A 13,395-nucleotide genomic window follows, 5' to 3' on the forward strand; every position below is an offset into this window, starting at 1 on the left:
TTATTTTATATGCTAACTGGAATTATAGACTGTGATAACTGGAAGAGACCTTGGAGATCATCTTTCCATCTTTCCCTACCTTCTTTCACTGTCCTACCACTGCAGGCTTCCAGAAGATATATAGACAGGCTAAATGCCCCACCCTAAATCCCACCTCAGCTAGGAATTGACATGGGACTAGAACCCAGGTCTTTTCATTGCTAGTTAAGGGACCTCACCAACCTCATCCCACAATTTTATATTTTTAGTTTGCTGGATGTCCTAAAGAAGTAGTTTCTGTAAGACGGATTTGAGTGGTTTATGGCCAGATTGAATTTACAAGGTGACCATCCGTTTTTGAAGGAAAAACAAACACACTTCTAACCAAATAGAAATGACTGTAGTTCATCTATTCTGTCCCTCCTTTGGCCTCCATGACTGGTCCCACAGGACCAGCGTTCTGCTTTCCTGGAGCAGCTTTGTTGTACTGAGATTGTCCTTAGATCCATCTATCACATGGTAACGTTGGCCTTCTTTTCTCTTTTTTTGGTCACTTGCTTTGGGCATAGGCACAGCTCTCCATGCTTTTGCTTCAAATGTTTCTAGAAAGATGGAACTTAAACCAGCTGGCTATTGGAGTTGCTGATCTTCTGGGTATCTTCTAAATATTCCACATAAAACCAGGATTTTCTCCTGATAGAGACATTGTGTTTTTTTATTCATGTGCCCTCAACTGAGATTTATAATTTGATCAGTAAATTCTTACTTACCTTAAACTCTAGGCTGGCCTTTTTCTTTATATTTATATATCTATATCTATATCTATCTATATATATATTTATAGATTTTTTCTTTATATTTTTAAGCAGACCCCTCCCTAGACTTTCACTCTAAGTTCAATTTGAACACTTCTCACACCTTCTTTTATAGACATAAAATGCACACTTTCACAAAATAACACTAATAAAAACCTTCAGATCTCATTCTACCTCCACCCCCTAACCATTCTCAGAACTTCTCACTTACCTGGCCCACCTAGAAGTCCTAAGATCACTCTTTTCCACACTGGCCCAGATCTTTGGTCTTTGTTCAGGGTCCATAATGTCTTTTGAGTTATATTAAGCATGCTTACTTTAACTATAGTCAGTTCTCTGACACAGACAGAATTCATAGTGAGTTTTGGATAAGGTCTTTTGTTTTGTTTTGTTTTTTTGTCAAGGATCCAAATTGACCCAACTTGAATTTTTAAAGAAGAACATGTCAGGGGTGGATGCCAAAGAGGCCCACTCTGCAAATATATTTTGCAATTAACAGAGTTCAAGTGAGCTCTTCTGAGTTTGGTGGTGGCTGTTGTTGCTTGGGGATCTCTTTCTTTCACATAAGTCTCTGTCTATTGTTTCCCTTTGTGTGTGCTTGTGTGTGTGCTGTGGGACATGATAAACAAGTATCATTTTGTTTCATGTAATTACAGAATCATGCTTTTATGTTTACCTTTCATATCCACTTTAAGGATAGAATCTGTTTTACAATTGGGACTGCTTCTATGACCAATTCTGTAGTGTTGCCTTCAGTTCAGGCACATGCCTCTGAAACCTTAATCGCAAACAGATGCTGTTCTGAATCAAGAGTTTCCCTCTTTGGCTACTCAGCCTGAGCAATGAGCTGCCTGACTTGGATCCTACAGGCTTCTTGAAAAACTCCACAGGCTGCCTTACTAGCACACTGGTAACATGCAGAAGATTGATATTTTCCAGGCCCAAGCAAGACTTTGAAATAGTACCTAGCAGTTGCAGAGAGCTATTTATTTTCCCCTCCTCCCAGAAGTGTTTTCACATACATGATCTCATTTTATCCTTCAAATAGTCCTTGGAGTTAAGTAGGAAAAGCAGTATTTTCCCCTAGGAACCTGAGGTCCAGAGATGTTAAGTAACTCGCTCAAGGTCACACAATTAGCCTTGACTTGTAGTCTGTTATTCTTTCCACCAAAATGACACTAGCATTTACTTTGTCTTGTTTCAAAGTTGTTCAAAGTCTTTTAGGTGCTGGTTGGATCCAAGCTGTCATTCTTATAGCTCAGATTTAAATAAAATTTGTAACATCTTTTAGTGTTTCATGTGTTTTTTTTTTTCCCCTAGGCCTTAAGATGTGTCTAAAGTGGTAATTTTGTGGGGCCTTAAAAATTATGTGGGAGAGAGAACCTTTATAAATAAAAGTTGAAGGAAAAAAATTATTTGGGGAGCTTGTTCAGTAGATCATGGTTCAATAGAGCAAAGATGCAGTCGTAAATTTGGCATTCTATAACAAAAACCACCCATGTGATTCTGAATTAGGAGGTCTGTGTAATCACTGTTCTCAGAGCTAAAGTAAGCAAGGCATGTAAGACGTCTGAGGCTCACTTTCCTTATTTAAAAAACAAAGGCAAGACTAGAATCAATTAGTAAATTGTCTCCAGAAATTAACATAGATTCTAATCTCCTGTAAACTTAACAGCTCGCATCAGCATTCTTATGATGGAAGAAACAGTATTTGTCTGAAAAAATACCTTGGAGTTAGAAAGTCCCCCACAAGGGACTGGGTTTTCTGGAGAGGGAGGGAGGAAGAATAGAGGAGAATTTATTGAAAGACATGAAGTTGGGAACTCTGTAGGTTAAGGACCAACAGAGAAATCCCTAGGAGTGGATGGCCAGAAAGGACTCTGGAGAAAGAGGGATGATTGGTATAGAGTTTTTAAATGTTTGCTCTGTGATCTTCATATAGTCAGTAAAATCTATATTTTGTGTGACTGGTAACTTTCCTATAGGAATTCATGAAGAGGCCGAGCTTTGCTTTCAGAATGACATAATGCAGAACTGAGCAGAAGAGATACTGAGAATATAAGTCTTGGGAATTTGCAGAAGTCTTGGGGACAGCTTTGGATTTCTGCAAACTAGAACTGAAGGCTTAAATCAACTTCACTTAACTATCCATGGGATCAATGTGATCCAGGTGATGTCTGGGGTAATATATGACAATAAGCATGAAGATCTAGAAAATATTATTTAAAAAATACTCTTATGGCTTTAGAACAGGGGTCTCTGGTACCCCACAGAGGTACCGGTCTGTGGTCTCTTAAGAACCAGGATGCACAGCAGAAGGTGAGCTATAAGCAAGTGAGTGAAGCTTCATCTCTGCTCCCCATCACTCATAGTACAGCCTGAGATCTGCCTCCTGTCAGATCAGTGGCAGCATTAGATTCTCATAGAGGTGTAAATCCTAGTGTGAACTGTGCATGCAAGGGATCTAGGTTGTGTGCTCCTTCTGATAATCTAATGCCTGATGATCTGTCACTGTCTCTAGTCACCCTCAGTTAAGACCATCTAGTTGCAGGAAAACAAGCTCAGGGCTCCTACTGATTCTACATTATGGTGAGTTGTATAATTATTTCATTATATATTACAATGTAGTAATAATAAAGTGCACAATAAATGCAATGCATTTGAGTCATCCTAAAACTGTCTTCCTCCCACTGGACCATGGAAAAATTGTCCTCCATGAAACCAGTCCCTGGTGCCCAAATGGTTGGAAACTGCTGCTTTAGAAAAACTAGGATAAGATTAGATATCTCATAATAAAGGTGCACATCAAGAAAGTGAATGTGAACAAAGATGTTTGCAAACAGAGTACATGAAGATCAAGAACCTTGAGATGCAGTTCCAGCTTTGGCCAGTTTGCAGAATGATTTTAACTCAGTTTTAATGTGTTTGTTCCCTTTCCCATGTAATTTATAATGGTAGTTCACATGGACTGTTGATGCTTGTACTCTAGCAGCCAGAACCAGAAAACTGGGAATTTTCTACATCTGGAAATATTTACCTCGGGATCTTGAGAAAGAGTTCTTGGTCTGAAGAAGCAGAGGATGGGGAGGAGCAAGGCAGAGAACAACAGAACCAAAGTGTTAATTTCCAGTTTAGTAAAGAACGGACATTTTACATGAATGCAAGGAACAGAAATGTCCTCTTTACAGAGAAATAGGCATCCAGATATGTTGTCTTAACGATACTGGGATACTAGACTAGTATACTAGAGAGTCGCAAATTTAGAGGACAACAAGATTCTACTGGAATGCTTATGTCAGATGGTTTCAATCCTTTCAGTAAAAAAAGGGAATTAGCATTATCTGCTGAAAAGTAAGGGTTGGGATTGTAGAAGTTTGTGGCCTTCAAAAGAGGTCTGAACTAGTTTTGGAAGAATGAAGCTAGGGAGGCAGTGATAAATTAATGACAGGACCTGCCCATGAGTGGCTAGGGCCAAAGAGTTCCTGTACTGTCTTATATAAACTGCTAAAATAAAAACTCCTTCTACCTTCTTACTGTCAATGAAATTCAATTCCCTTTGAGAATACTGCTTACATGGTTTCTTATTCTCACCACCCTCCCTGCCCAGCCCCACTCCACCACAGTGATGGAACCAGGAGAGAAAAGCAGAGAAAATACCAATATTCCTCTGGTGTTCTCTTTCAATTATTCTTGCAATTAGCAAATATTTGTTGAGTAGCTACTAGTCTAGGTGTTCTGGTCTAGGTGCTGGAAGAAGCTTATTTTAACTCTTTTGATAAGAATACCTCTTTTGAAGCCTATGCTGTATAAAAATACCACCTCTTCTTTTTGCCATCTTTTACCAAATTGCACATTTGTTGAAGGTATTGATGCTTGTCTTTCAAGTCTGGATTATGGGTATGAGTTGAGTGGAGCATTCTTTGAGCTGTCCCTCTGCTCTTCAGATGATTGAGACCATACCCTAAATCTCTTTTCATTAAGCCATTGCATACAACTGAAAAGATTTATTGGATATCACAATCTTGCTCTGGGACACTTTAACCTATTCAGCAAATTTAACTATGAGTGTAATGGCCATACCCTTGTTTTGATCTTTGCCTCAAGGTTGAGTCTTGATCAGCGTTTGTTGCTCAGTTGTTTATTTTACCTTATGGGATTGAAAAGCAGTTGCTTTCTCTAACCCTGTTAAGTCCCCAAATTCCTGGACTTTTTCCCTTTTATTACTGATTGCATATTGGTCGATCCTTTTCTAAGTACATTTCTTCCTTCTAATACCTTGCTATATTCGTTTTCTGGAGCTGATGTTACAAAGTCACAGAAACTGGGTGGCCTAAACACTAGAAATTTATTGTCTCCCATTTCTGGAAACTAGAAGTCTGAGATTAAGGCATCAGCAGAGTGGGTTTCTTCTGAGGGCTATGAGGGATAATCTATCTGTTTAAGCCTCTTTTCTAGCTTTTGGTGGTTTACTGACAATCTTTGCTGTCTCTTGACCGGTGGATGAATCTCCCTATTTCTGCCTTCAACTTCACATGGCACTCTCCCTGTATGCATGCCTCTGGGTCCAAATTTCCCCTTTGTATAATGATACCGATTATATTAGGACTTCCTTTAAATAATTATCCGTATGTCCAATTCTGGTGTACTGGGGATTAAGGATGACAGTATATCTTTTTTGAGGAGCTAGGAGGACACAGTTTAATCCGTGATACTTACCAAATACAGCCAACAGCAACTACGACATGCTACTGACATTCTGTTTTCTAACCTTTCTTTCCTAGGGTTACAAGTTAGTTAAGTATATGATTTGCCTTCCAAGTTACCTCAAGCAAAAGTTTTAACAAATGTTACCAGTTTTAGCCCGTTCTAAATTTTATAACCACCAAAATACAGGCTCCTAAGCCAATGCCACGTATTCTTTCACATTCCAATTTGTGGTTCTGGAGACACCAAAAAATTAACATAATATTCACAATAGTTGCCGATGGAGGCTGGAAAACATTTGCAATATTAGACTACTAATATTACTCTTAAATTTATAAATAGTCCATTTGTACTCTTGCTATCTCCCTGCAAATGTTAGAGGAGGTGTTTCTGACTCCAGATACTTTTTTGCCTGCACCAGTTATTTTAGTTTCTTTCTTTCTTGCTTTCTTTCTCTTTTTTTGTTTTTGTAGTTTTGTACCTGTACTGTACTTGTAGGATCATTTTGAAGAGAGAGGAAGTATTACAATTAGTCCTATGTTCAAAGAGGTAAAAGCAACTAGAAAAGAGAAGTGGCAGCACAGAAAAGCAGTAGAAATATAGAACCAATTTTCTGAGCATACAGAGAAAGAACAAATGACTTGTTTAAAAGGGTCCTTTTTTAAAATTATACTTTAAGTTCTGGGATGTATGTGCAGAATGTGCAAGTTTGTTACATATGTATACACGTGCCATGGTGGTTTGCTGCATCCATCAACCCATCATCTACATTAGGTATTCCTCCTAATGCTATCCCTCCCCTAGCCCCCCACCCCCTGACAGGTCCTGGTGTGTAATGTTCCCCTTCCTGTGTCCATGTGTTCTCATTGTTCAATTCCCACTTATGAGTGAAAACATACAGTGTTTGGTTTTCTGTTCCTGTGTTAGTTTGCTGAGGATGATGGTTTCCAGCTTCACCCATGTCCCTGGAAAGGACATGAACTCATCCATTTTTATGGCTGCATAGTATTCCATGGTGTATATGTGCCACATTTTCTTTATCCAGTCTATCACTGATGGGCATTTGGGTTGGTTCCAAGTCTTTGCTATTGTGAACAGTGCTGCAATAAACATACGTGTGCCTCTATCTCCTTCAGTTCTGCTCTGATCTTAGTTATTTCTTGCCTTCTGCTAGCTTTTGAATTTGTTTGCTCTTGCTTCTCTGGTTCTTTTAATTGTGATGTTAGGGTGTTGATTTTGGATCTTTCCTGCTTTCTTTTGTGGGCATTTAGTGCTATAATTTTACACACTGCTTTAAATGTGTCCCAGAGATTCTGGTGTTGTATCTTTGTTCTCACTGGTTTCAAAGAACATCTTTATTTCTGCCTTCATTTCATTATTTACCCAGTAGTTATTCATGAGCAGGTTGTTCAGTTTCCATGTAGTTGTGTGGTTTTGAGTGAGCTTCTTAATCCTGAGTTCTAATTTGATTGTACTGTGGTCTGAGAGACAGTTTGTTGTGATTTCTCTTCTTTTACATTTGCTGAGGAGTGCTTTACTTCCAACTATGTGGTCAGTTTTTGGAATAAGTGCGATGTGGTGCTAAGAAGAATGTATATTCTGTTGATTTGGGGTGGAGAGTTCTGTAGATATCTATTAAGTCTGCTTAGTGCAGAGCTGAGTTCAAGTCCTGGATATCCTTGTTAAACTTCTGTCTCATTGATCTGTCTAATATTGACAGTGGGGTGTTAATGTCTCCCATTATTATTATTTGGGAGTCGTAAGTCTCTTTGTAGGTCTCTAAGGACGTGCTTTATGAATCTGGGTGCTCCTGTATTGGGTGTATATATATTTAGGATAGTTAGCTCTTCATGTTGAATTGATCCCTTTACTGTTATGTAATGGCCTTCTTTGTCTCTTTTGATCTTTGTTGGTTTAAACTCTGTTTTATCAGAGACTAGGATTGCAACCCCTGCTTTTTTTTGCTTTCCATTTGCTTGTTAGATCTTCCTCCATCCGTTTATTTTGAGTTTAGCAAGACTAATAAAGAAAAAAAAGAGAGAAGAATCAAATAGACGCAATAAAAAAATGATAAAGGGGATATCACCACCAATCCCACAGAAATACAACCTACCATCAGAGAATACTATAAACATCTCTATGCAAATAAACTAGAAATTCTAGAAGAAATGGATAAATTCCTGGACACATACACCATCCGAAGACTAAATCAGGAAGAAGTTGAATCTCTGAATAGACCAATAACGGGCTCTGAAATTGAGGCAATAATTATCCCACCAACCAAAAAAACTCCAGGACCAGATGGATTCACAGCCGAATTCTACCAGAGGTACAGAGAGGAGCTGGTACCATACCTTCTGAAACCATTCCAATCAATAGAAAAAGAGAGAATCCTCCCTAACTCATTTTATGAGGCCAGTATCATCCTGACAAAAGCCTGGCAGAGACACAACAACAAAAAAGAGAATTTTAGACCAATATCCCTGATGAACATCGTTGTGAAAATCCTCATAAAATACTGGCAAACTGAATCCAGCAGCATATCAAAAAGCTTATCCACCAAGATCAAGTTGGCTTCATCCCTGGGATGCAAAGCTGGTTCATCATACACAAATCAGTAAACACAATCCATCACATAAACAGAACCAGTGACAAAAGCTACATGATTATCTCAATAGATGCAGAAAAGGCCTTCGACAAAATTCAACAGCCCTTCATGCTAAAAACTCTCAATAAACTAGGTATTGATGGAATGTATCTCAAAATAATAAGAGCTATTTATGACAAACCCACAGTCAATATCATACTGAATGGGCAAAAACTGGAAGCATTCCCTTTGAAAACTGGCACAAGACAGGGATGACCTCTCTCACCACTCCTATTCAACATAGTGTTGGAAGTTCTGGCCAGGGCCATCAGGCAAGAGAAAGAAATAAAGGGTATTCAATTAGGAAAAGAGGAAGTCAAATTGTCCCTGTTTGCAGATGACATGACTGTATATTTAGAAAACCCCATCGTCTCAGCCCACAATCTCCTTAAGCTGATAAGCAATTTCAGCAAAGTCTCAGGATACAAAATCAATGTGCAAAAATCACAAGCATTCTTATACACCAATAACAGACAAATAGAGAGGCAAATCATGAGTGAACTCCCATTCACAATTGCTACAAAGAGAATAAAATACCTAGCAATCTAACTTACAAGGGATGTGAAGGACCTTTTCAAGGAGAACTACAAACCACTGCTCAATGAAATAAAAGAGGATACAAAGAAATGGAAGAAAATTCCATGCTCTTGGGTAGGAAGAATCAATATCATGAAAATGGCCATACTGCCCAAGGTAATTTACAGATTCAATGCCATCCCCATCAAGCTACCAATGGCTTTCTTCACAGAAGTGGAAAAAAATACTTTAAAGTTCATATGGAACCAAAAAAGAGCCCGCATTGCCAAGACAATCCTAAGCAAAAAGAACAAAGCTGGAGGCATCATGCTACCTGACTTCAAACTATACTACAAGGCTACGGTAACCAAAACAGCATGGCACTGGTACCAAAACAGATATATAGACCAATGAAACAGAACAGAGGCCTCAGAAATAACACCACACATCTACAACAATCTGATCTTTGACAAACCTGACAAAAACAAGAAATGGGGAAAGGATTTCCTATTTAATAAATGGTGGTGGGAAAACTGGCTAGCCATATGTAGAAAGCTGAAACTGGATCCCTTCCTTACACCTTATACTAAAATTAATTCAAGATGGATTAAAGACTTAAATGTTAGACCTAAAACCATAAAAACCCTAGAAAAAAGCCTAGGCAATATCATTCAGGACATAGGCATGGGCAAGGACTTCATGACTGAAACACCAAAAGCAATGGCAACAAAAGCCAAAATGGGATCTAATTAAACTAAAGAGCTTCTGCACAGCAAAAGTACTGCCATCAGAGTGAACAGGCAATGTACAGAATGGGAGAAAATTTTTGCAATCTACCCATCTGACAAAGGGCTATTATCCAGAATCTACAAAGAACTTAAACAAATTTACAAGAAAAAATCAAATAACCCCATCAAAAAGTGGGCAAAGGATATGAACAGCCACTTTTCAAAAGAAGACTTTTATGCAGCCAACAAACACATGAAAAAGTGCTCCTCATCACTGGTCATCAGAGAAATGCAAATCAAAACCACAGTGAGATACCATCTCACACCAGTTAGAATGGCAATCATTAAAAAGACAGGAAACAACAGATGCTGGAGAGGATGTGGAGAAATAGGAACACTTTTACATTGTTTGTGGGAACATAAACTAGTTCAACCATTGTGGAAGACAGTGTGGCAATTCCTCAAGGATCTAAAACTAGAAATACCATTTGACCCAGCGATCCCATTACTGTATATATACTCAAAGGATTATAATCATGCTACTATACAGACACATGCACACCTATGTTTATTGTGGGACTATACACAATAGCAAAGATTTGGATCCAACCCACATGTCCATCAATGATAGACTGGATTAAGAAAATGTGGCATATATACACCATGGAATACTATGCAGCCATAAAAAAGGATGAGTTCATGTCCTTTGTAGGGACATGGATGAAGCTGGAAACCATCATTCTGAGTAAACTGTCACAAGGACAGAAAACCAAACACCGCATGTTCTCACTGATAGGTGGGAATTGAACAATGAGAACACTTGGACATAGGGCAGGGTACATGACACACTGGGGCCTGTCATGGGGTGGAGGGATGGTGGAGGGATAGCATTAGGAGAAGTACGTAATGTAAATGACGAGTTAATGGGTGCAGCAAACCAAGATGGCACATGTATACATATGCAACAAACCTACACTTTGTGCACATGTACCCTAGAACTTAAAGTATAATAATAAAAAATAAAAATTACAAAAACTTAAAAAAAGAAAATAAAAATAAGAAACCATATGTTTGCATGTGTCATTATAGTAGACTGATTTATATTTCAGTTACTTTCTAATGCATTGTGTCCCAGTAGATTAGTTCACATTTGCCTCTTTTTTTCCTCTATTTATTCTGGGCCCCATAATCTATTACTTGAGCTTGTCCTTCTTCATCACCCTTAATACTCTCACTTTCTGTTTCTCTGCTCTGCTTGGCCTGAAAAATGTCAGCAGCAAACTATATCTGATCATTGTCATCCTCCTCTGACATGCAACACTATTAAGGATTTATGAAGGAAATACATAGTAAGCTCCTACACCTTTATGATGTTTAGTTCAACTGTGTTCTCAACACTGCTAGGGAGTCTTGCAAGAGTTACCTCACTCTCTCTCTTTTCTCTTTATGGATATGCTGTATAAGCATAAGACACCTCTTAAAGAATAACCTTGTTTTTGTTATTTATTCCACTATGGGAAACCTGATCTAGTCAGTAATTTTTCAGTGGTTACTTTTAGCTTCTGTAACATTCTTACTACCTGCATCCATTTGTTCCATTTTCCTTTCTGTTTCAATATCCCTCCTCTTGTTCAATTCAGTCCTTTGCCAAGGTGTTCTATCCTACCTTCTCCACCTCTTTAGGAGCCTTACTCCAGCAAATGCCTCCTCTTATCCTTCATTTTAAACTCTGACTCTTGATTGGCTCTTTCACCTGAGCATACTCATTGCTCAGTTTGTCTCTATCTAAAAAATCATTTTTAGACTTTATACCTTTATTTTCTTTGTAAATGTCTTTATATATATTTTCTTATAACCTCCCGTCCCTCCTTCTTTCTTCCCCTCTCCCATTGAAAATCAACAGGATAGTATTTGGAGACTTTTGTTTCCCTGGGATTGACACATCTCACAGCTAAGAATGAAAGCCATGAAATATCTAATATTCTAAGTTCGGAGAACCACTAGGTCACCTCCTGGACAGTAAAATTTCAATGTATGAGCAACAAACAATCATGCTAGGATGTAAAATGATTAAAATGTCACTTTCTGAGTATTAGACAATTCATATGGTTTTTAACAAACAGTGGCTTTATATCCATTGTAATGCCTCTTTTAGCATCAACATTCAGAAATTCACATTCCATTTTTTTGGACACTTCATGAGATTTTGAAACTACTCTTTATTCTGAGATTCTGTTAATTGTATTTAGAATGGACCTTGATAGTTTTCCTGCTCATAATTTTGGTAAAACTGTATTGCATTTTGAGGAAGTTAATATCAAATGTTCCTATATAAACTTTGACTAGAAAATGATGTATGGAGATATTCACACATCTATAAAGTTTGGTTATTTAAATCCAAGAGATGTTTTGTCATGAATATCTTAACTACAGAGACATGGAGCTGCTTGGATAGAACAAACTCTGTGCTTTAATGGTTGTATAGTATTCTTTTCATATGTATATCTGTAATTTTACTTCTGTTTAGCCATTTTCTTCTTTTTATTATGTATACATTTTTTATTTCTGTAGCTTTTGGGGTACAAGATTTTATTTCATGGATGAATTGTATAGCGGTGAAGTCTGAGATTTTAGTGCACCTGTCACCCAAGTAGTGTACATTGTATCCAATATGTAGCTTTCTATCCCTTACTCTTGGCCCCTTCTGAGTTTCTAAAGTCCATTATACCACTTGGTATGCCATTACATACCCATAGCTTAGATCCTACTTATAAGTGAAAACATATGGTATTTTGTTTTCCAATCCTGAGTCACTTTACTTAGAATAATGGCCCTAAGTTCCATCCAAGTTGCTGCAAAAAAACCCCATTATTTCATTCTTTTTTAATGGCTGAGTAGTATTCCATGGTGTATACATACTGTATTTTCTTAATCCACACATCAGTTCGTGGACACAGATTGGTTCCATATCTTTGCAATTGTGAATGAATTGTGTTGTGATAAACAGGCATGTGCACATCTCTTTTTGAGATAATGACTTATTTTCCTTTCGGTAGATACTCAGTAGTGGGATTGCTGGATTGAATGGTAGATCTACTTTTAGTTGTTTAAGAAATCTTCATACTGTTTTCCATGGAGCTTGTACTAGCTTACATTCCCAACAGCAGTTTAAACGTTCCCTTTTCACCACATTTATGCCAACATTTGTTGTTTTTTGACTTTTTAATAATGGTCACTCTGGCTGGGTTAGATGGTATCTCATTATGGTTTTAATTTGCATTTCTCTAATCATTAGTGATGTTAAGCATTTTTCATTTCTTTATTGGTCATTTGTATATCTTCTTTTGAGAAGTGTCTATTCATGTCATTTTTCCACTTTTTGATGGGATTATTTGTTTTTTTCTTGCTGATTTGCTTGAATTCCTTGTAGATTCTGGATATTAGTCCTTGGTCAGATGCATAGCTTGCAAATATTTTCTCCCATTATGTGGGTTGTCTATTTACTCTGATGATTATTTCTTTCGCTATGCAGAACATTTTAGTTCAATTAGGTCCCATTTTTATTTATTTATTTATTTGCTTTTTTGTTCATTTACTTTTGGGGTCTTAGTCATAAATTCTTTGTCGAGGCCAATGTCCAGAAGAGTTTTTCCCTAGGCTTTCTTCTAGAATTTTTAAGGTTTCATGTCTTAGATTATGTCTTTAATCTTGATTTGATTATTGTATGTGGTGAGAGATAGGGATCCAGTTTCATCCTTCTACATGTGGCTATCCAGTTTCCCAGCACAATTTACTGAATAGTGTGTTCTTTCTCCAATTTATGTTTTTGCACACTTTGTCCAAGATTAGTTGCTTGAAAGTATTTGGCTTTATTTGTGAGTTCTTTACACTGGTCCCATGGTTTGTATCTCTCCTTTTATATCAGTACCATGCTGTTTTGGTTACTATAGCCTTGTAGTATAATTTGAAGTTGGGTAATGTGATGCCTCCTAATTTGTTCTTTTTG

Source organism: Homo sapiens, chromosome 12 (genome assembly GCF_000001405.40).
Source record: "Homo sapiens chromosome 12, GRCh38.p14 Primary Assembly".
In the NCBI taxonomy this organism is placed as follows: domain Eukaryota; kingdom Metazoa; phylum Chordata; class Mammalia; order Primates; family Hominidae; genus Homo; species Homo sapiens.